The sequence below is a fragment of the Homo sapiens genome, chromosome 6 (assembly GCF_000001405.40).
Source record: "Homo sapiens chromosome 6, GRCh38.p14 Primary Assembly".
Taxonomy (NCBI): Eukaryota; Metazoa; Chordata; class Mammalia; order Primates; family Hominidae; genus Homo; species Homo sapiens.
In genome coordinates, this window is record NC_000006.12 from 1,322,467 (window position 1) to 1,347,691 (window position 25,225).

General features: G+C 42.2%; 1 long non-coding RNA gene across 1 annotated transcript in view; it reads right to left on the reverse strand.

Moving 5' to 3' along the window:
* Positions 1–1,008: 1,008 nt before the first annotated feature.
* Positions 1,009–25,225, reverse strand: part of FOXF2-DT (FOXF2 divergent transcript) — a 67,585-nt gene continuing 43,368 nt past the window's right edge. Inside the window, exons 2-3 of the long non-coding RNA NR_187218.1 lie at positions 2,287–2,461; positions 1,009–1,742 (exon numbers count right to left, since the gene is read on the reverse strand). This is a non-coding gene — a long non-coding RNA (FOXF2 divergent transcript). The remainder of the gene's footprint in view (positions 1,743–2,286; positions 2,462–25,225) is intronic.

Sequence of the window (25,225 nt, forward strand, 5' to 3'; positions counted from 1 at the left end):
CACACCTCCCTCACAGTTCACACCCATGAAAACCCTCATATAATGTCAAAAATAACACGCTAATGTGTTTTTTTTTTCCCTTTTCCCTAAACTCAATCAACTTGAGATCAAGTGTGAATCTCAGGGACAAGTTTCAGTATGTCATTCTTCAACATGATTAAAGTACTTACAAACACAGCAGAATATATTGGATGCCTTAGGGTACAATGGATATATACAACTTGTCATTCTAATGGGTCATAACATGTATTTCCAATTATGTTTCCCCCAGTGTGCTCCTGACAACTTAAGTTTCTCACAAAATCCCAGCTTTGAGAATTAGAGGAGAATGCTTACTTCACAGGCAGGAGACAGAAGTTGGGCTATTTTCAAGAGATTTCATCATAAGCAAGGCATTTAGGGCTGGGTCGCATGGTGGCTCCCAGGCCGCTGCTCTGGGCTGACAGGATCAGCTCAGTCCTTTGTTTATTTAAGAACAAAGTCTAAAGGCAATTCTCAGGGTAGCAGAGTTGATATAACCTAAAAATGCAATAGCCTGGGTGCTCCCAGCACTTTGGGAGTCCAAGGTAGGAAGATCATTTGAGACTAGCAGTTCGAGACCAGCCTGGGCAACATAGTGAGATGTCTTCTCTACAAAAAAGTAACAAGAACAACAAAAAATTAGCCAGGCATGGCGGCTTGTGCTTGCAGTCCTAGCTACTTGAGAGGCTGAGGTGGGAGGATCGTTTGAGCCTAGGAGTTCAAGATGCAGTGAGCTATGGTGGTACCACTGCACTCCAGCCTGGGTGACAGAGAAAAAACTCCTGCCTCTAAAAAAATAAAGAAAAATAAAGCATAAAAATATCAATGTAATTAGCACCAAGGGCCTCAAGGCATGGGAACAAATGTATATGTGTTCATACAAATATAACATGAGAATACTAATGCTAAATGTGGAAACACTGAAAGAAGATAAATACAGCAACTAGAGAAAAGCCCTGAAAAAAATAACTCAAATAAGAATAAATATTACTATTTAACAAAGTGTATTCCAGGTAAGTTCTCAGGCCCAGGGAACGTATGAATAATAAGGGTGACCCTATCATCCCCACAGATAGACCCACCCTTACTTAAGAGAGCTGGTATTTTTCTGGGGAAGTCAACATTTGTAGGAGGCATGCTCTAGTCCTAGCACCCCGACTCCCCTGGGGAAGCCACCATCCATGGCATGCAATGTGGGGGTTGCCCTCAATTCTCCAGGACTCTGAGCCTTGAGCAGGGGGATTCAGGGGCCAAACACAAGTCAGACTGATTTGCTCCCAGGGTCCTAGTGAAATGGTCCACCAGCTTCCGCTGTGGGCCCTGGAGCTTCCTCAGCTCCTCTCCATTCTGGGGAAACTCAGTCGAGTCTTCCTTTGCTCATTTGTCCAGAGCTGTTTCTGCTGTTGGTTACCTCCTCAGGCCTGTGCAGTCAGCCAGACACAAGGCGAGGAAGCCAGCATGGTCGGCCCGCTCTTGCCCCCGTCCTCCATGAAGCCTTCTCCTCCTACTGGCCCTTTTGGCAACCTCTGTGCCCAGCTGGAGGATGGAGGGATGCAGAAGCCAGGGGCCGTGCAAAGCAGGAGCAGCCACTCTGCAGGCAGCAGCTCTCTCCCCCTCTCTGGGGGACAAACATCACGGGCTGCTGGTCCCCAATATGAATACCCTCTGAAGTCTCAGGCTGGGTAAAAGGTTACCTCCTTAGGTTGCATGTACACGACACACTGAAAAAGGCAGAAGGAACAGAAATCAGATCCGTGGTTGCTGAGGGCTATGGTGGGCACAGCTCTAAGGGGCACAGGGAACCTTGGGGTGAGGGAAATACTCTACATCCTGACGTGGCTTCAGGACTGCACACACTGGCCAAACTCAGCGCCTAGAAAGTGGAAGTTTTTGCTGCATGTGAGTTATACCTCGACAGCCCTGACCCCAAGAACCCATTCTCATAGAGTGAAGGGTAACACTTGCTGAATTGCCCAAACCAGGGCACCTTCCCAATAACAGTTTAAGTTAAAGGAGATACAGCTTTATTTGCAGCATTTCAGCTAACTGGGGCTAGTTAGGGGGGCATGTTTTCAGGGCAAAGCTAAACTTCCCAGTACCTCTTAAATCATGCACAGTATGTAGCAGCCCCTTCCCACTCTGGGCAAAGCCATCTATGGCCCTGGTGCCTGCTGCACTTCAATATGGGCATGTGTCAAGCACCAACATCTAAAAGGGGAACCACACCAGCATGAAGCTGCCTCCACCCTCCCCACATTCACTCACACTGTCTTCTTCAGCAGGTACATAGGCCGAGGAAGCAAAGGGGGACTCAGAGCCCACAGCCCATGTGGAAGAGAATGTGGCATTTCTGCAGAATCACGTGCTTCCGAAAGCCTGGATTTGTTCACAGGGTAGTTCCTGGGGGATGCTGCCAACTTTTAAGGCCTGGATGAGCACCCTGCAAGGACAAGTCCCCAGAGGGGGACCGAGATTTAACACCCACAGGACTCTGTGGCCCCCCCAAACTATCCAGCACCCTCACCTTCCCCGTGCCGGGTTTCAGAAAGCAGCTCCAATGTGAAAAAGATCGAGCACATGCAATTCCCTCTGCTCCATGACCCTTCCCTGCACCCTGATTCCATAACCACACGTGTAAGAATGCCGGGGAGATGTTGTGCAAACCAAGCACTTTTGACCCCTTGCGGCAGTTGCACACAGTCAGCAATCTGAAAAAAGATAATTATTAGTTCTCCTATTTATTAGCTGAGCCCTTTTGAGTAATAGCCTCTGGGGACATTCATACATGCAATAAAAGTCCTCATCATGGTTAAGTGCAAAATGATGTGGCCTATTCTAGATTTTTGCTGAAACAAACCCTCAAGCCCAGGTAGTTCCTCTCCCTGGAGTTGAGAAAGGCAAAGACTTTGACAAGCACCTTCTCCACTCTTGTGTGACTTCAGCATCTACTTCAGAAATATTTGTTGAGCTCATTCAGGGGGTTGAAATCAGTAGGCTAACTCAGCCAATTTGGATCCAGCAAAGATGAATCTGAGCCCATGTTTTCTAAAATGCAACCTCACGATGAGGTGTGACTGAAAAGAGCTGTCTGGCGGCCCAAGTCCCCTCTTCCATGAGCAAAGTTGAAGTGTTTCAGCTAAAAGATTGGGGCCTAGAACAAATCCTGCCCAATAAGGCTCTTTCATGAGTCACAGGAAATTAGAACTACCGTATCTTTTAGTCACAGTTGATTCAATAGAATCAAGACCCAGCCCACATGCAGGCCCAATGGCTGGCTGTTTGCACAGAGTGATTCATGAAGGGAGCCCAAATTCTCTGCCCGATAAGATCTCTCTCCACACACTTTTCTGTTTGCCTCACCGATCCCAAACCCCCACCCCAGCTCATTCTGCTGCCTGAAATATCACCCTTTGAGTCATTCTGTTGAGTTACATAATAAAAATGGGGCATAAGTTCTACAAAAAGGAAAAAAATGGGGGAAGGGGGACTGGGCGGAGAGACACAGGGAATCATTGATCCATGACAAACACAATGTTCCCTTCCTCACACCTCTGTTAATTGCAAGGTCCAAGTGGACCAGCTTGTAAGCCTTGGAAGGACTCAGTGTGAGTACTGAACACAGCTGTCCACAGACAAACACAAATGGCAGTCTGCAAAAAGAAAACCCTGCTTCAATCTTAGCATTGTATTTTCTGCACCTCACTAGCAGAGGTGTTGGGTGTGAATGAAACAATCCATGACACTTGTGGTGACCAGCAGTACCTTCAATTCATACAGCAAATGTGATGTTAAGTTCTACCACCCATAGGTCACAATCAGTTTTCCCTTCTGGGGGTCCCTCTTCCTTTGTCCCAGGATGTGAATCAATGCCAGTGTGTAGACACCCCACAACTTACAGTGGGGTCACCACCCAATAAACCCATTGCAAAGTTGAAAAATTGTAAGTTGGATCATCATAAGTCGGGGACCATCTGTGCTTAAAGAAATGTGCTTTTAAATTCCTTTGACAGATCATTTTGCTGCTGCCTACAGCTTTTCACCAAAGTTATAAAGCAAACACAGGCTTAATAAAATATGCAATCTATGTTTAGAACCCAGGCTCCAGGGGAACGGGAGCGATGCAGAGCAAACAGGTAGGATTGCAGTGAGTCGGAGAAGAGACCCCCACCCCCCGCACCCCTGCACAACCCTCCGGTCGGCTTCCTCACTCCCTCCCCTCACTTCCTCTCTCTGCCCTACTGGAGAAGGAAACACTTTGTTAGTGCTAAGCATGCCCAGTAGCCAAGGCCAGGCTTTAGCTCTAAGTCAGAAGGAATCTAAAGGATAAACAGGATCCAAGTCCTCCATTCTCTGTTCCCTGCCAGGCCAGGGAGCAGACTGGTTCAAACAGACAGCTTCCCTGACGCATCCTACTAGAGAAGCCTTGATTGTTGGATCTCCAGCAACGTTCACGCTGCCCTCCTGGAGGAGGCTCAGGGGATGCCTGCTTAGGAGCCGAAAGCCCAAGCCCTCTCAGCTGTGTCAGGATGATGATAATGGGTGCAGGTCACTCCTTTCCTTAGGAACGCTTTTAGACTTTACCACATCTCCCCTGGAGAAAAGGGTTCTCCCCTGGCCTGTCATGCAGTTATCTCCAGAGAGGCAAGGAAGGCATGGTGGGCGGGCAGGGTCACGTACCATGAAACCCAGCAGTGGGGCAGCAAAGCCACAGTATCAAGTCTTCAAAATAAGGAGCAAGAGGCGCAGGGGCAGTCCCGGCATGGGGAGAAGACAAATGACAGTCTGCAAAAAGATAACCCTGCTGCCGATCTTAGCATTTTATCTTTTTTTTTTTTTTTTTTTTTTGAGACAGAGTCCTACTCTGTTGCCCAGGCTGGAGTGCAGTGGCACGATCTCGGCTCACTGCAACCTCCACTTCCCTGGTTCAAGCAATTCCCCTGCCTCAGCCTCCCACCTCACTAGCAGAGGTGTCAGGTATGAATGAAACAATCTGTGACCCTTGTGATAGCAAGCAGTGCCATAACAAAATTGCTAAGAGAGGAGATCTTGAGTGCTGTCACCACAAGCAAATGAAATTCATACAGCAAACGTGATTTCATGGCAGCAGAGCTTCCTGGCCCTGAAGTAGAGATCAAGCCGGGCTGCACCCTCGGCTGCCAAAGGACTCCCTGCCGTGGCTTGCAGGGGGACCCGTCCGCTCAACCCCTCTCTCAGTAAAAGAGTTGGAGCACAAATTAATTTGGTAGGTGCCAGAAATAAGTAGGGGAGGAGGGAGGTGAGCCGGTGGACAGAAAGCAGTGGATACAGGGTGAGCTGTCCAGCCAGCTACTGCTGAGAGTGACTAGTGCTGAAGGCCATGAGAAAACTCTGGGAATGGTATGATACACTTGCCTGGGAATGATCCCAGCAGAGACCAGAGAGACAAGGGCGTGATTGGTTGAGAGGTCCCCGGGTTGGTAGGGGCATGTCTCAGCTGCCATGCATTGGAGCTGAGCACTTCCCGTGCCTTCAGAGAGAACCTTCTAGCAGATAGGGCAGCTGAAAGCATTTAATACTCACCCCCACCACAGTTCAGCCCTGCAGGCTCTCTGCATCCACACCAGGCCCTTTCAGTCAAGACTGGGATCCTGCAGTAGGGACAGTGATCTAGGAAATGGCCTCTGACTTGCAGCATTTGCTAAATTCCATGGTGAAAATGTACTCACAATGGCCCATCTCAAACCATCAGCAGCCAAACACTGGATGGGACATTCCTGCACATGCAACCCCTGGCTGCTGTGCCATGAGCTAGTAGGAGCCTGCTCCAGCACACCACAGAGGCTGAGATGGGGATCCCCTTGCCTTGAGGCTCAGGTGTTGAGTCACTGGCTTTGCCTGGGGACAGGGGCCTTTGGTCCCAGGGATCCTACCATGGGATCTTCAATCCAGTAACAGCTCTCGTGCCTAGAGCTGATTTCTAAAGTTAAAGATTCGAGAGTGAAGAGGCTATGTAGTTCAGTGATTAAGAGCATGGACTCTGAGGCCAGCCTGCCCACATTTGGATCCCAGCTCAACCATGTGTCATCTGTTGTAACCTTGAGCAGGTAACCTCTCTGTGCCTGTTTCCTCTCCCATAAAATGAGGATAATAATAGTAATGACCTCACAGCATTCTTGTAAAGGTTAAATGAGTGATTATATGCAAAGTTCTTGGAACAGTGCCTGACACATAGTAAGCACTACTTAAATTTAGCTGTTATTATTTAGGGATGGAAATGAACAGTTGATAAACCTGAATTCTAAGAGCATAATAAAGTTGTCTGGTTCATCCTGAAGACTCTGCATTTCTATCACCTAAAGTTACACCTAGAATTAATTCTGGGAGACAGAGGTAGACAGAGTGAGATAGAGAGAGATTAATAGTCTCCTTTATGAGAGGAACTTTTTAATGCCACAATAAATGAAGCAGGGATCATAGAAGGGCAGGTCTCCCATATTTGAGGGTTTGTACAGCACCAGGCTCAGGTTAAAGATTGATTTGTTCTTTATTTTATATATGATTGTATACAAAGTGATGATTTGATATGCATGCATTATGGAGTGATTAAATCAAGCTAATCAGCATACCCAACAACACATACTTATTGTTTGTTTTTGGTGAGAACATTTAAGATCTCCTCTCTTGGCAATTTTCCAGCATACAATGCATTATAATTTACTATAGTCATCATGCTGTATAACAGATCTCCAGCATGTATTTCTCCTAACTGAAATTTTGCACCCTTTGACCAAGATCTCTCCAACATCCCCACACACGGTTTTTGTTAACCACCATCTAGTCTCTGTTTCTATGAGTTCAACTTTTTTAGATTCCTTCCACATATAAGTGAAATCAGGCAGTATTTGTCTCTGTGCCTGGCTTATTTCACTCAGCCAAATGTTCTCCAAGTTCACCCACACTGTTGCAAATGACAGGATTCCCTTCTCTTTATGGCTGAATAGTATTCCGTTGTGTATTTATACCACCTTTTCTTTCTCCATTCATCCACTGATGAACAGTTAGGTTGATTCCATGTCTGGGCTATTGTGAATGGTACTGCAATGAACATGGGGGTGCAGAGATCTCTTCAACATACTGATTTCATTTTCTTTGGATATACACCCAGTGATGGCATTGCTGGATCCTATGATAGTTCTATTTCTAATTTTTTGAGGAGTTTCTACACTGTTTTCCATAATGGTTGTACTAATTTGCATTCCCATCAACAGTGTACAAGGGTTCTTTTTTCTCCCTATCCTCATCAGCATTTATCTTTTGTGGTTTTGATAATGGCCATTCTAACAGGTATGAGATGATATCTCCTTGTGGTTTTAATTTGCATTTCCCTGATGATTAGTGATGTTGAGCATTTTTTCATATACTTGTTGGCCATTTCTTGGCCATTTGTAAGTCTCCTTAGACATGTCTATTCATGTCTTTTGCCCATTTTTAAATTGGGTTATTTGTTTTCTTGTTATTGAGTTGCTTGAGTTCCTTATGTATTTCAATAATGGATGTCATACTTTTCTTTTCTTTTTTTTTGCAGTTGCAAGATTTAATAGAGTGAAGACAGAGCTCCCATACAAAGGGAGGGGACCCAAAGGGGGTTGCTGTTGCCGGCTCAAATGCCTGGGTTTATATCCCAATCATTGTCTCTCCCCCTGTGCTCTCAGGCAATAGATGATTGGCTATTTCTTTACCTCCTGTTTTTGCCTAATTAGCATTTTAGTGAGCTCTCTTTACTATCCGATTGGTTGGGTGTGAGCTAAGTTGCAAGCCCCATGTTTAAAAGTGGAAGCAGTCACCTTCCCAGCTAGGCTTAGGGATTCTTAGTCAGCCTAGGAAATCCAGCTAGTCCTGTCTCTCAATCCCCCCTCTCAACAGGAAAACCCAAGTGCTGTTGGGGAGGTTGGCCGACGACCGCTCTAACTGCTTCCTGCTGAATTGGGGCATAGTAGGGGTTGTGCAGTTGAAATTTCCTTGGGGGAGTGCTTTCGATATCATTAACATCGGTGCATGGGCTAGCAGGCCGGTCCAGGGGTCTGTGGTAGATCTTAGTCATGGACTGCATCTGGGGCTCCTTTTGAAGAACAATTAGTAGTTTTACAGCTTCGATTCTGGAAGAGACAAACTTAACAAGGAGGTTAAAGATACAGGGTCCAAAGAAGAGTCGCAATATTATAGCTGCTGGAGGTCCTAAGAAGGGGAGAATCCAGGGCACCCATTGGCTGAGAAGGCCCCAGGGTCCAGTGTTTTTTAAGCTCCTTTGCTCTACGTTGTATTCGATCTCGAATTTCTTTAACTTTCTCAGTGACAATTCCAGATTAATTAACATAATAACGGCATTCTTCCCCTAAAAATAAAAAGGTTCCCCCTCTTTCAGCGGTTAGCAAGTCTAAAGCTCTTCAATTTTGAAGGACTACTGCATACCCCACCTTTTGAAGTCCTTTTTCTACAAAGGAAATTCCATCAGTGTACAAGTTGAGGTCGGGATCAGTCAAGGGAACCTCTAAAAGGCCCCTCAAGTGGCGTAGGTTTGAGCAATTATTTGTTGACAGTTATGTTCTATCTTTTCTTCATTGTCTGGAAGAAACGTGGCTGGGTTAAGAGTTGCACAAGTGCACAGTCACAACACTGGCCCTTCAAGTAATATTTTACTGATATTTAAGTAAACGATTGTCTGACAGCCACAAGTCTCCTTTAGCAGAGAATATGCTGTTCACATCATGAGATGTCCACACAGTAAGATCTCTTCCCTGTATCATTTTAACTGCTTCAGATACTAAGACTGCTACGGACGCCACTACCCATAAACAAGGAGGCCAACCCTTTGCCACTACATCAATTTCCTTACTCAGGTATGCCACGGGTTGCAAGCTTGTCTCTCGGACCTGTGTAAGGACTCCTAGAACTATTCCTGTTTTTTCTGTGATATATAAAGAAGAGTCTTGCCCTGTTGGCAAGCTTAACACTGGGGCTTGGGTTAGGGCCTTCTTTAGGGCCTGGAAAGCTGCTTCTGCTTCAGGTGTCCATCTTACTAATCGGTATTGGCTTTCTGAGTTTCCTTAATTAGTGTATATAATGGTCTGGTAAATCCAATGGACCTGGGCTTGCAGGCCTTGTAGGACATTAGGATGAAATTCTAATTTATATATATCTATATCTATATATAGATATAGATATATACTGCACACCCAAACCTATTTGTTGAGTATGGTAAATATTTAGTATATGGTACAGAGTGGATACTCAACAAATGGTAATCAGCATTAATAATAGTAAAAGTGCACCTTAACCTTTAATGAGGAAGTCAAATCCTCATCAATCAACCTACAATTGTTGTACAAATTACACAGTTTACCATGAGGTAGACACTTGGGGGGAAATACCTTCAGTAACTTTTAACTAAATTACCTGGAATTTGATCTACAGGATTATTTATGTTGCAAATCAAAGCCATATAGGTCTTTGCCAACATGCATGTCATACCATTCATGCCAAGAAATATAAACCTCTGATATTACTGATTAGTGCAATTAACTTACTTGGTCTTTAAAGTGAAAACACCCCACACATTTAGAAACTATAGGAGGAACACTAAAAACCTAGGGTGTATACCGAATGAGATGCCTTGACTCTCCCATAAGAATTTTCATCTGTTGGCCAGGTATGGTGTCCCACACCTGTAATCCCAGCACTATGGGATTACATAGTGCCCAAGGCGGGCAGATTGCCTGAGGTCAGGAGTTCAAAACCAGGCTGACCAATATGATGAAACACTGTCTCTACTAAAAATACAAAAATTAGCCAAGCGTGGTGGCATGCGCCTATGGTCCCAGCTACTCGGGAGGCTGAGACAGGAGAATCGCTTGAATCTGGGAGGCAGAGGTTTCAGTGAGCTGAGATCACACCATTGCACTCCAGTCTGGACAACAAGAGCAAAACTCCATCTCAAAAAAAAAAATAATAATAATAATCTGTTAAACCAAAAAATACAATGCAAAAATGTTATTGAAATGAGACTAACAAAAAAGTTTTTAATCTCCTTATTTTCTTTTCAAGCATAACTAGATGGAAAAAGATGAAGATAATTCATCTGCTCAATTGTTTTTTTCAGCTCAGTGATTCTCTGTCTTCTATGTTTACATTGTCAAAATAGAAATAGGTCCTATTAGCTCTAAGGTTTATGCACATAAGTGATTAATCCCATTTAAAGTTTGTGTTTCTCCCTTTCCTCCACGAGCCCTCAGTTTTCCATTTTTCTCTCACCATCTTCTTGCTATCTTTCCCTGTACTCTGTGAGACCTCCTTCAAAGGTCAGCCAGAATAAGAGCAGAATTTTTTTTTTTTTTTTGAGACAGAGTCTTGCTCTGTTGCCCAGGCTGGAGTGCAGTGGCACAATCTTGGCTCACTGCAACCTCTGTCTCCTGGGTTCAAGTGATTCTCCTGTCTCAGCCTCCTGAGTACCTGGGACTACAGGTGCGCGTCACTGTGCCCAGCTAATTTTTGTATTTTTAATAGAGACGGGGTTTCACCATGTTGGCCAGGCTGGTCTCGAACTCCTGACCTCATGATCTGCCTGCCTCTGACTCCCAAAGTGATGGGATTACAGGCGTGAACCACCACGCCTAGCCCAATAGCAGAATATTCTATGCAAGAAGAAGAGAGTAAGCTTCTGCTGGATCTTACAAAAAGCTTGCCCAGATCCTTTCAACTTCCCAGGAACCACCAAACCTTCCCTCAGCAGCATGTCATCACTGGAGCAGCAGGTTGATTTGCAAAACCATGTGGAGCCAACAAAATCTTCTCAAACCCAGTCCTCATCTCACTCCATTCACCAGAACACATGTCTAAAACAGCAAAGATTTCTATGTGTAAAGCGAGCCCATAAGAACTCTGGGAGAAAGCATGGAAGAGTCCTAAGTCTTTTTTGTAGAAGCAGGGCTCATCTGTGCATGGCACAAACCCCAAATGCTTTCTAAGAAAAGGTGGGTAAGTGTGAGTCTTTAAATAATGTAAACTTCTATTTGTTTAAGCAATAGACAAATGAGAAACATATTTGTGGCCTATCTGACAAATAAAGGTAATGATAAAGCTTTTAAAGTCAATTTTTAAAACTAAAAAAAAAAAATACAATAAAAATAAACAGTAGTCAAGGCCAGATTCCAGAAAATAATGCAAATAGTCCATAAAATGCAAAAAAATGTTGTCTTCCTTACTTGAAACATGAATTACAGCAATAATCATTTGCCATTTATTGCCTATTGGCAAAGATTTAAGAGTTTCATAGCACATGGAGTTGGTGAGGTTTTGAGGAAATAGGCAGTTCATATAATGTTGATAGGGTTGTAAATTGATATAACTTTTTCACAGGGCAATTTGGCAATATCTATTAAAATGTAAAATTTACATACCCTTTGACCCAGCAATTTCATTGCTAAGAATTCAGCCTAAGGGTTTGTTCTCTCATCTGTGCAAAGAGTGCAAGGGTACCAGGACACGTCTTGCTGTATTGTTTGTAATCTCCCCAAATGGGGGGAGAAAACTTGCTAATATCAATTTAAGAAACTGGTTAAATTCATTATGATACAAACCACACAATGGACTATTAAGCATGGGTGGATTCTTATGCTCTTGTGGAAAGGTTCTGAGATACACTGTTGAGTGAGGAGAAGTGTGCTGCGGACAATACATCGAGTGTGACCCCATTTGCAGTGAAGGTTAAATAGATATATATCCGTCTGTGTGAAAGTTTGCACGTGCAGAGGAAATTTTCAGAAAGATTTTAAGAAAGACTTAAATTGCAGTTACCTCTGTGTATCTGGTAAAGCTGGAGAGGTCTTTTATCTTTGGAAAAACATTTTATCTTTTACCTTACACTCTTGTATTCTACTTGGCAGAAGTCATTTTTATCATTAATGTGCATTACTTTACTATTAAGACAAACATAGTTTACTATTTGGGGAAGAATACAAAAGAGAAAAAGGAGGAGAAAACAAAGGAGGGAAGGAAAGCATAAAGGTTTAAAGGAGGGAGGAGGGAAGGAGAAAGGAAAGGAAAGGAAGAGAGAAGAAACCTCCTCATTCTTTTGAGTAGAAGGCCGTTACCTGTTTCAATGGAGACAGTTAGCAGCACATTTTAAAACTTAAGTAATTTTACCCAACTTCACAAACACTAACTTGTTGCTTCTTTTATAAATGAAAACAAGGAAGTCTCTAGGGTTGGTTTCGTCCACACTTTTTCTTAGGCTATATGCAAACCACCCTGGGATAAAGTCCTCACTGCACGTAAGCCAAGGGTGACTCCAGGGAGCCAGACGGCATTTCCTTCCATAATACACAAATTTGTATTTTGCCTGATGTTTTTGTCTCTGAGCCCAGATCCCACAGTGATAGGCGCCACAAAAGTACACAGACCAACAGAGGACGCGCCCTGATTTTGCAGAAGAGACCGATGCTTGGAGGTCAAGAGGCTGCCTGCCACGGATTCAGACTGGAAGCTTCGGCCGTCTGAGCAGATTAGAGCATCAGGCTTTGTCGCTAGTGCATGCAGGAGTTTTCACAGATAAAAATCTTTCTTTCTTCTCCTTAAGATTCTGGTAGCTAACCAGAAGCTACATGAATTTTTTTTTACTTACTTTTTAAGATTAAAATCATACATGAGGTCTCTTTTATAAGATAATGAGTATTGCAAAGGATTTTTTTTTTTAAAGAACTGGTTTTTAAAAATTGAGAGACTTTAACAAGGCTTGTATGTTTGTTTTTAAACTCCTTTTCTATGGTAAAGGAGGAAAGTTTAGGCCTACCACAGGACCAAGGCTTGCAGAAAGACAAAACTGTTCTGGAAGCAAATGGGACCCACTCCTTCACCTCCTTCCCCCGCCCTCCCTTTCCTCTCCTTGCCCCAAACTGAACTCTGCAACCATTACTGAAGCTTACAAAATATTCTGCTACTACTCGACAGTTTAAAAATTAACAAGCATGTAAAGCTACCGGGGGTAAAAGCCTGGAGCCTGTGGCAAGAAGCAAGCCCTGGCTGGATTCTGTAATTATTTCTTACGCAACTCCAGGTCGCAGTCACAGCTTTCCGAAGATTACACACTTCCAGCCGCTCAGCCCTGCTGGAGCAGGAGGGCCTGGCTCTGCCAGAGTTGTGTATGCCTCTCATAGCATCATAATTAGTCATTAAACAGCAGAACAAAGGGCCATTCTGACCAAGGTGGCACTACTGGATTCCTTTGCTTGCAGGAAAGGAGAAATTTCTTGCACGTTCTCCCCTGGAAGGATGTGAATGGGGTTGGGAAGGGAAGACCAAGATGTGGAGAGGGGTGGACCGAGAGTTAGTTGCAGAAGGCAGACTTCATGGGGATTTTCTGTCCCTGCTGCTGCGTTTCTTGTTTGTGTTGCTGCATAAACTCCACCAGACCAGCACGCTGTGACTGCCCTAGCCCGGCCCGATCAATGGGAAGGGACCTCTTGGAGGGCCTCTGTGCCTACGAGGTTTCCAGCCCTACCCCAGGCTTTTCCTTATTACCAAGATTGCTGCCCTCATGTTCACACATTTTATTTTTTATCAGAATTTTGCGAAATCAGAATTCTAAACTTCTGAGGCCCTAGATAGTTTTAATGAAGCATATACCTAGAACCTGAATATTCAGGGTAAAGTATTAGCCTTAAGTATAATCACGGCTAGCCCATGGATTCTGCAGATGAAGAAACTGAGGCCAGAAAGCCCAGTGGTGAGCTTTATTACAAACATTATGGGGGCTTCATGAAGGCACTTGGCTTTACTTTATTCTTGGAACTCAGAGCTAACCTCCCATGCTTTCTTTGTCTGCTCTATGAATTCAGTGTCTACCTGAAACCTCCACCCAACCTGTTTGTACACTTGGAAAACCCAACCTGGTGCATGGGCTGGGTGATAATCATGGCAACACTGCAGCCTGCAGGTAAGTGTGAAGATAACAGCAAGACAGCTGGAGAGTGCTACCTGCCAGCACACAGTCTCAACCCCTAAGAGGCAGCTGCGCCCAAGAGAGGAGGGATGTCAATGAAGGGTCACACCTTCAGTTTGGGCTGAAATGAGTGAGCTAAAGGAGTGGTTTGTTATTCAGAATTACATTTGCCAAAGTGTACTAGGGAAAAGAATTAATTTCCCACAGCATTGGTAAGAGGATTGGGTCTTTTTGCCTGGACTTTATAGAAGAGGTCAAGAAAGATGGAAAATGGCCCACGGAAACTGACTCGCCCACAGCGGCCTGCCCTGCTCAGCTGTGCCACTCAGTAACCACTAACAGCGACTCCAAGTTGACAAGAGAAAAACAGTCTTTTCACATTAATCTCATTTCCCTGTGTGAGAGTTTCACTAGACTACATCAGGGAAACACCACAGACACTGACTATCCAGTTCTAATACATCCGAAAATATCTTCAAGGATGGCATAGAGAAATGTAGGTTAGACAATTAAGTTACAGAGAAATTCCGTGGATTAATCAGTTGTAACCCAAAGGTGCCAGTTAATGGATTAACATCGACCTATAGGGACACATCAAAGAATTCTTTTCCACCATGTTTTCCAATGAACTGGATAGAAACACCTTCAGATCTCAGCTCAAATGTTACCACTTCCTTTGAGGTTTTCTCTAGCCACCCTATCTAAAATTGGGAAAAAAAAAAAAAAGTCCTCTCCTCTTTTATCTCTCTCTTCTGCTTTATCTTTCTCCTCGGCACTTGGCATTACTGAGTTTACCATATGTACCTATCTTTGTTTCATGTGTCTTTCACACTTGAATGAAAGCTCCAGGAAAATAGGGATTTCTTCCTGTTTTGTTCACCGCTGTATGCCCAGATCTTAGATTGGTGCCTGGTGGCTGGGCACCATGGCTCACACCTGTAATCCCAACACTTTGGGAGGCCGAGGCAGGTGGATCACCTGAGGTCAGGAGTTCAAGACCAGCCTGGCCAACATGGTGAAACCTCATCTCTACTAAAAATAAAAAATTAGCCAGGCATGGTGTCACTTGCCTGTAATCCCAGCTACTTGAGAGGCTGAGGCAGGAGAGTCTCTTGAACCTGGGAGACGGAGATTGCAGTGAGCCGGGATCGCACCACTGCGCTCCAGCCTGGGCGACAGAGCAAGGCTCCGTCTCAAAAAACAAAAACAACAACAAAAAAAAGATGCCTGGCATGTCAAAGTGCACTCAATAAATAGTCACCAAATGAACCAATGGATGGCAATAATGTGCTTGCTGAATGTGAAGATAGCATAAACCCAGGCGGGTGGGGGAAATATTAGATGGCAAAGTCAACAACCAAAATTATCTTGACAGGTGAGAACGACAGTCCGAAGCCAGCAAGATGGAATTTAACAGGCTATGTAAATCAATCCCACAGTTAGATTTCAGAAAAACAATTGCACAAGAACAAGATGGGAAAGATAATGTGGCTAAATAATACCACATGCAGAAATGACAGGGTCTCGGATGACTGCCAGCTCAGTCTGAGTCAAAAATAAAACCCTCCTTTCAAAAAAGTGTGATCTTTGCTGTCATCACTAATTAAAATAATCATAGTTTTCAGCACAAAAGTGTGCTCATATGCATTCCTGCACTTGAACTCACATCTTTTCATAGATACATGCAATATGCCTGTGATCAAGTTTATTCATTCCAGCCTGGTTTGTAAGAGCAAAGATGAGAGTCCACCTAACTGTCCATCAGTAAACAGGGGACTGGTGAAATAAATGAGGGAAAGCGAATACAGCCTTCAAATAAGAAGGAGGAGCCAGGTGTGGTGGCTCAGGCCTGTAATCTCAACACTGTGGGAGGCCGAGGTGGGAGGATCTCTTGAGCCCAGGAGTTCAAGACCAGCCTGGGCAACATGGTGAACCCCATCTCTACAAAAAATATGAAATAGAAAATATTTGTATGGTGACGCACACCTGTAGTCCCAGCTACTCAAGAAGCTGAAGTGGTAGGATCACTTGAGCCCAGGGAGGTCGAGGCTGCAGTGAACCATGATTGCACTACTGTACTCCAGACTGAGCAACAGAGTAAAACCCCAGCTCAAAAAAATAAGAAGAAGAAGGAGGAAATTCTTAATGCATTGGTTCAGAGCAGTCTCTAAGGTAAATAGGTAGGGGAGACAGAGATTTAACAAAAAAGAAAACAAATCTCCAGCTTTATTTAGATTTCATTTGGAGTCTTGCTACTCGGGCTGATCCTTGGCCATTAGTGTGGGCAGGCTGAAGGCTTTTTAGAAGTGCAAAGTGGCAGGACCCATATCAGACCTACTGAAACAGAATTTGCATGTTAATAAGATTCCTAAATGATGCCTATGCACTTTACCATTTAAAAAGTAAATTTACTTTATCGTGGTAAACTATGCATTACATAAAATTTGCCACTTTAACTATTTATGCAATTCAGTGGCATGAAGTCCATTCACAGCGTAGCACAGCTATCACCACACCATCCATCTCCAGAACTTACACAGATTTTATTGGTAGTTTTGAACTACTTGGAAGAACAAATTTGTAACACTTTTAAAACTTGTTTGTTCTTAAAGGTACATCTCTCATCTGTTGATTCATTCATTCATTTAATGTATACCCATTGAGTGTTTGTGCTAATCCAGATATCATTCTGGACACAGAGGGCTACAGTGATAAGCAGAAAGACATGAAGTTTACAGCCTAGTGAGTTGGCTGAAGTGATTTATTTGTCTTTTATTCCATCTTCATTGAGGTAGGTATAATGACAAATAAAACTGGTATGACCATTATGAAAAAGAGTATAGAGGTTTCTCCAAAAATTAAAAATAGAAGTGTCACATGATCCAGCAATCCGCAACCAAAAGAATTGAAATCAGTATGTTGAAGAGACAGCTCGCTTCCATGTTTATTGCAGCACTATTCACAATAGCCAAGATATGAAATCAACCTAAGTGTCCATCAACAAATTAATGGATAAAGAAAATGTGACATATATATATATATACACATATATATACACACACATATACACACACACACACACACACAATGTAACACTATTCAGCCTTTAAGAAGAAGAAAATCCTGTCATTTGTGACAACATGGATGAACCTGGAAGACATGATGCTTAGGGAAATCATTCAGACAGAGAAAGACAAGTACCGCATGATCTCACTTATATTAAAGGTCTAACTCATAGAAGCAGAGAGTAGAATGCTGGTTACCAGGGACAGTGAGGTGGAGAGACTAGGGAGATGTTAGTTAGAGGGGACAAACTTGCAATTATAAGTTCTGCAGATCTATTGTACAGCGTGGTGACTATAGTTAATAATAATGAACTGTACACTTGAAAGCGGATAAGAGAGTCAATCTTAACTGTTCTCACCACAAAAGAGACAAAAATGATAACTATATGAGGTGATGCACGGGTTAACTAATTTGATCGTGGTAATCATCTTACAGCGTATATGTACGTCAAGTCATCGTGCTGTGCACCTTAATATTGAAATGCTGCTGTGGGGAATGAATTTAACCCAGCCTGCCTCATGCCGTCTGGACCCTTCCCTCCAACCTCACTTCTTGTAGCCCTCCCTCATGTTCTGGAGGCCAGGGAACTTGTAACATTCCCAACAGTTCTGAGTCCATGCCCAAAAGGTTCTCCAGGATCTCAGGGAATACTGGATTTTGCAGGATCCTCCTCCGTGATTCATTCAGAAGAGTCCGTGGCTGAGCTGACACCAACGTCAGCTGATTTTGCCCCAACAGACTCTGCCGACTGAAGGGATTTCTGCAGCTTTGAGTCATTCACTCTTCTTTGGTCACCGTGCTTAGGTCAGGATGCAGGCAGTCCCTTCTATCTGAGGGTAATTTTCAGTAGCTACCACCTAAGTGTTCCGCCCAGCTGGCACAATCCTAGCCTCAGCTGCGTATTTTCCTCCAAGGCCAAGGGTGATATCAAAACCAGCCCAGGAATTCTTTCCAAATTCAAGGTTACTGTTGCTGCATCACGGTGTGACATGGGTAAGATCTTGCCCTTGGATGGTGCAGTGTGGACTTGGTGTGGGATTTTGTTCATGTTCTGTAGTCACTGGCCAGAAGGATGAGGTTCACATTTTGCATGAGGTTGCTGGGGGTCTTAGAGGTCACACTAATTTGGCACCATTCTACATGGTCTGCAGATGAGTTGATTGAAAGTCCCCATTCTGCCCACACTTGCTGCAGCCACACACAGTACCTGCTCTTCATCACTTTGCCTCCCTTAATACTTCAAGATGTATTTTTAAGTAAAAAAATTTAAAAAGTGAGATGTAGAATGGCATTTCAGCATAGTACCTTTGCACAGGGGGAAGGGCACCCACTCTGTTACAGGCACTCAGGTGTGTGTGTTATCATACCCGGAGGGCAGCCCTGAGCACACACATGCCAGTGGCCTGGCTGACTCCAGGGGTGTGGTGATGGAGACAGCAGTGCCAAGAGGACATGCCATCACTGCCTCTGTCCCTTTTGAATTGGCAGCATGTGCAAGTATTACCTAGTCAAAAAATTAAATCTGAATTATGAATAAATTTAAAACTGGTTTTCTACCTTACCAAATATAATGTTTTACTTTATTTAACCAACATGCAGTGCCAGTACTAAAGAAGTGACTGCCCTATTTTTTACCATGTATTAGTCAAGACTTTCTCATGTATAGAATGTTCAAATTTGAACATCATACTTCCAAAAAAGTATATTTGATATTTATATAATAAAGGTACTTTCTTGTCTTTCCTTCTTCCTCAAAACAAGAAGCATGCCAAGGGAGATCTCATCTCTAGGTTTAAATTATTTCTTTGCCATCTGTTAGCATGTCTTCAAGTCATTCTTTGTAAGCCATTCATTTCTGTGCATTGCTTCACAATGCCACATCCTCTATTCTCGTAAGATCCTGTACCAGCAAATGACACACAAATTCAAGAGAATGTTCTAAGTATACATTCAGATAGTAAAAGCATACGTTAGTCACAAATTTTGTTTATTCATGTTTCTACAACTTCAATAGTAGAAATAGGTAGATGATTTCCAGTTTCCACTCCACTATGTAGGGAGCTTGGAAGCGATCATCACTTCCATCCTCACAACAAGAAAAGAGTTAAACAAACTGAAAATCAACAACTCTTCTTAGATCCATCAAAGAATTGCAGTCCCAGGGAAAACTGCTGCCCCCAAAATGGAGAGACAGATAGGCAAATACAGAGATTCACATTGTACTGGAGCAGAGGCCCAAGAAAGAAAACAGCTTCAGGAACCAGTACCAGTGTCTCTTACCCAGCACATCATGCCTGGCTTTTAACAAGAGATTAGGATGTGTATGAAAACTCTAAAAACACAGAAGAAACAGAGCAAGCATCAGAACCAGACTTGGATATTGCAAATATATTGGAATTATCAGACAAGGAATTAAAAAATACTGTAATTAATATGCCAAGGGTTCTAATGAAAAAAGTAGGCAATATTCAAGAAAAAATGGGTAATGTAAGCATAGAGATGGAAACTCTAAGAAAGATTCCAAAGAAAATGCTGGAAATCAAAGATGCTACAACTGAAATGAATGCCTTTGATGAGCTCATCAATAAACTCCATGGCCAAGGAAAGAATCAGTGAACTTGAAGATATGTCAGTAGAAACTTCTAAAACTGAAATGTAAAGATCAAAAAGAAAATTAAAAGATAGAACAGAATACCCAAGAACTGTAGGACAATTACAAGAGCTGTAACATACACATAATGGGAATATGAGAAAGAGACAAAAGAGAGAAAGCAACAGAAGAAACATTTGAAACAAGAATGACTGGTAATGCTTCAAATTTAATGACAGACACAAAACTTTACAGCCAAGAAGCTCAGAGAACACCATGCAGAGTAAATACCAAAAACTGTACAATTAGGTACATCCTGTTTAAGCAGAAGAAAATCATAAACAAAGAGAAAAATATTGAAAGGAGAAAGAAACACTTTATCAATAGAGGAGCAAGGATAAGTATTACACAGGACTTCTCTTCAGAAACTTTGCAAGCAAGGAAGGTGTAGTGAAATATTTAAAGTGTTGACAGAAAAATAACAATAACAACACACTAGAATTCTGTACGCTGCAAAATTGTTCTTCAAAAGTAAAAGAACATAAAGACTTTCTCAGAAAAATAAAGATTAATTTATCTCCAGTAGGCTTGCCTTGCAAGAAATGTTAAAAAGAAGTTCTTCAGAGAAAAGGAAAATGATACAGGGAAGAAAGTCATTAAGAAAGGAAGAACATTAGAGAGCAATTAAGTGAAGGTTAGTTTTTTAAACTTTTCTTAGGTCTCACTTTGTTGCCCATGCTGGACTGCAGTGACACAATCTCAAGGCTCACTGCAACCTCCCAGGCTCAAGCAATCCTCCCACCTCAGACTCCTTGGTAGCTAAGACTACAGGTGCATACCACCATAAGTACCTAATTTGGTTTACTTTTTGTAAACATGGGGTCTTACTGTGTTGCCCAGTCTGATCTCAAACTCCTGAGCTCAAGTGATTCTCCTGCCTCAGCCTCTCAAAGTGCTGGGATTACAGGTGTGAGTCACTGCACCCGGGTTAATTTTTATTATTCTTAATTGATTTAAAAGATAACAGTTTGCTCGAAAAATAATAGCAAAAAGCCATTCTGTGATTGTAGCTTATGGAAAAGTGAAATGAATGACGGAAATGTTATACAAAATGGGAGAGGAGAATTGGGAATACTCTAAGGTACTTGCACTACCCATGAAGTGGTATAGTGTTACTCAAGAATGCCTTGGAATAAGTACCTATATTTTGTAAACCCAGGGCAACCACTAAAAAAAGTTGTTTTTTAAAAGTGTAAGTGACATGCTAAGAGAATAGGAGAAAATAGAACCATATAAAATGATCAGTTAAAACCAGAGAAGACTGAAAAAGAGTGAAAGACAAAAAAGAAAAGAAAAAAGAAAGAATAAACAAGGGCAACAAATATAAAACAGTAACAAATATGGTGGGTATTCATCCAGCTATGTCAGTAATCATTTTAAATGTGAATGGTCTAAATGAACCAATTAAAAGAGAGAGACTGTCAGGACCCAACTATATATCATCTATAAGAAACCCACTTTAAATAAAAAGACACAGATGGATTAAAAGTGAGGGGATGGAGAAAGATATACCACACTAACACTAAGCAAAAGAAAACTGGCATAGCTATGTTAATTTCAGTAAAAGCAGACTTCAGGACAAGGAAAATTATCAGGGATAAAGTGGAGCATTCCATAATGATAAATGGGTCAATTCTCTATGAAGACATAACAATCCTTAATGTGTATGCACTAACTACATAGTGTCAAAATACATGAGACCAAAAGTGATAGATCTGCAAGAATAAATAGGTAAATCCACTATTATAGTTGCAGATGTCAACACCCCTCTATCAGGAGTTGGAAGATCCAGCAGGCAGAAAATCAGCAAGGGTATAGTTGAACTGAATAGCATCATGAATCAACTAGATAGAACTGACATTTATAGAATACTTCATCCAACAACAACAGAGAACATATTCTCTCAATTTCACACAAAGAGTTCACCAAGATGGACCACGTTCTTGGCTATAAAACACACCATAACAAATTAAAAAGAATAGAAATCATACAAAATCTGCTCTCAGACCACAATGGAATTAAACTAGAAATCAATAACAGAAATGAAAGCCCAAAATCATATGATTAAATCAATAAATGAAGAAAAAGCATTTAACAAAATCCAACAACCATTCATGATTTAAACTCTTAGCAAACTAGAAATAGAGGAAAAATTCCTCAAATTGAACAAAAAGTTCACACACACAGAAAAATCTATAGCTAAAGCCATGCTTAATAGTGAAAAACTAGTGGTTTTCCCACTAAGATCAGGAAAAAGGTGAGAATGTCCACTCTTACCATCCTTATTCAGCATCATACTGGAAGTCCTAGCTAATGCAATAAGACAAGAAAAGGAAATAAAAAGTACGCAGATTGAGAGAGAGGAAATAAAACTGTCTTTGTTCGCAGATGGCATAACTGTCTATGCAGAAAGTCCCGAAGAACTGACAAAACACTCCTGCAACTAATAAACAATTACAGCAAGGTTTCAGGATGCAAGGTTAATACACAAAAATCAATTGCTTTCCTATATACCAATAAGAAACTATTGGAATTTGAAATTGAAAACACCATGCCATTTACATTAGCACCCAAAAAACATGAAATACTTCGGTATAAATCCAGCAAAATATGTACAAGATCCACATGCGGAAAGCTATAAAACTCTGATAAAAGAAATCAAAACAGATCTAAATAAATGGAGAGATGTTCCATGTACATGGATGGGTAGACTCAATATTGTTAAGGTGTTAGTTCTTCCAAACTTGATCTATAGGTTCAACATAATCCCAAACAATATTATTGCAAGTTTTTTGTGGATATAGACAAATTGATTCTAAAATTTTAAGATTGACCCATTCACACAAATTTGTCTATTCATCTTTTGGTGGACACTTATGTAACTTCCACTGATAGATGGATAGACAAACAAAATGTGGTCTATGCACACAATGGAATATTATTCAGCCTGAAAAAGGAAGGAAATTCTGGCATATGCTACAACATGGATAACCTTGAAAACATTATGCTAACTGAAATTAGCCAGTCACAAAAGCACAAATACTGTATAATTCCACTTACATGAGGTACCTAGAATAGGCAAATTGATAACAACAGAAAATAGAATGAGTATTGCCAGGGATTGGGAGAGGAGGAAATTAGAAATTGTTTAATGGGTACAGAGTTTCGCTTTTGCAAGATGAAAAAGTTCTGGAGATAGATGGTCGTGATGGTTGCAAAACACTGTGAATGTACCCACACTACTGAACTGTATCATTAAAAAAAATGGTTGATATGGAGCTGGGAGTCATGGCATATGCCTGTAATCTCAGTGCTTTGGGAAGCTGAAAGGGGAGGATCGCTGGAAGCCAGGAGTTCAAGACCAGCCTGAACAACATAGTAAGGCCCCCATCTCTACCACAAAATAAAAATAAAAAATAGCTGCATGTGGTGGTACATGCCTGTAGTTCCAGCTACAAGGAAGGCTGAGGTAGGAGGATCACTTAAGTCCAGGAGGTCAAGGCTACAGTGGACCATGATCACTCCACTCCACTCCAGCCTGGGTGACAGAGCAAGACCCTGTTTCTTAAAAATAAAAAACAAATTTTAAAAAAAAGTTAATATGGCAACTTTTATGTTATGTATATCTTACCACAAATAAAATTTCAAAAATTAGTAGGAGGATAAGTAGATATTTGACAAAAACTGACAATATAGTTACTTCTGGGGAGAAGGACTGAGGTCCAGAACCAGAAAGATTTTTCACACATTTTTAACTCAGCATTTTCTAACCATATGCATTTCTCAACTTTTCAGTTTAAAAGAGTGGAAGGGGATTGCCAACGACCCCCACATCCCTTTCAAACAGAAGGGGTAGTTAAGAGCCAGATAGGGGTTTTTGTTTTCATACACGTGTTAATCTTTAAATGGAGATCCTGTATTTAGGGCTTAATTCTCTTATTTACATCACTGTAAGTGAAACTTTCTCAAAATTTAGGAAAGCCAGTTATTCATAGGAACCCAAAGGCTCAGTCTTTGGCACATGAAAATAATAAAGCTTGTCTATCCATGGTATTGTTCCTGTTGTTTTTAATAGTAGTGATAGAGTTTTACATATTCATCTCTGCCCTGTCCACCAGGCTTGTGTCCAACAATAACAACTGATGTTTACTGAGGGCTATTTCTTAAGCACAGTGTTTAGTTCTTTCACATATCTCCTTTAATATATCTCCTTTTAGATACATAGATAGATAGATAGATAGATAGATAGATAGATAGATAGATAGCTCTCCAGTAATAATTGGATAATCCTAGGGTCCTAGTGCTACTATGGTCTTTTACACATAAGGAAGCTGGTACATAGGAAGGTAAATAACTTTGCTGAGGCCTTGCTGCATTCAGATACAATTTTGCAGCCACTCTGCTATGAATCCGATGCCTGTGTGTTAAATCATCACACTGTGCTGCCTCCAGCAGCTTTTCAGGGCAGGGATGGCATGAAGCCTATTGCTGTGAAACCTGCAAGGACCGCTGGACCACAAGCCTTCCAGCTTGCTCCCTGTGGTGTCCCACAAATCACACAGCATCTGTCACTAAGTACCTGAAAGACTTAGTGAATTAGCCAGGCTTGCCATAACCAAGAGCTATTTACCTAAGAGTGCAAGTAAGTGGATGGCTCTGGAGGAACTGAGTGTACAAACCCCTCTGACATCCTAAGTAACTAAGAAAGGACTGCTGGAAACCATCCGTGGCACATCTGCCACTCTTTCACCCCAGCTCCTTGCACTCATTAGCGGGACATTCTAACTAGGGCAAGACTTGTATAATCCAACTGTGTCTTTGTAGGGTGTGCTCTTAACTTCTCACCAGTGATGAGTCATTACTAATCGCCAATCATCACATGAAGCCAAGATGCCCCTTAAGGGAGTAGCTAAGTATTTTAGCAAATGCTGTCAACTTAGCATGTTTGACAAAAGTAATGTAAGTGGAAGGACACACTTATCACTGCCTTCTTCCCTTGACCCACAGGAGGGTCCAAAGTGGAAACCTCTCTTCAATATAAAGGCTGCAACCAGTGCCCCCCCCACCCCTAGCTTGTAAATAACACAGCACACCTACCTAGTGTTCTGAGGCAAGGATGAACACACACACTTGTACGCACACTCAGCTTCTCATCTAACCACTTCCCGCTTCTGTCCCTCCACTCAACCAGTCCCCTAATGTCTTCAGGGACTCTTAACATAAAATGCTCAAAGCAGGAAGTTAAACATGCCAGACACATCATCAGCACCATGTGGAGCCAAGCATTTGCTAAAGCCGCAGCTTATAATCAAGGTGTTTTTAAAAAGTATTATTACTGGCCAGGCATGGTGGCTCAAGCTTGTAATCCCAGCACTTTAGGAGGCCAAGGTGGGTGGATCACCAGGTCAGGAGTTCAAGACCAGCCTGGCCAATATGGTGAAACCTCGTCTCTCTTAAAAAATACAAAAATTAGCCAGGAGTGGTGGCGTGTGCCTGTCGTCCCAGTTACTCAGGAG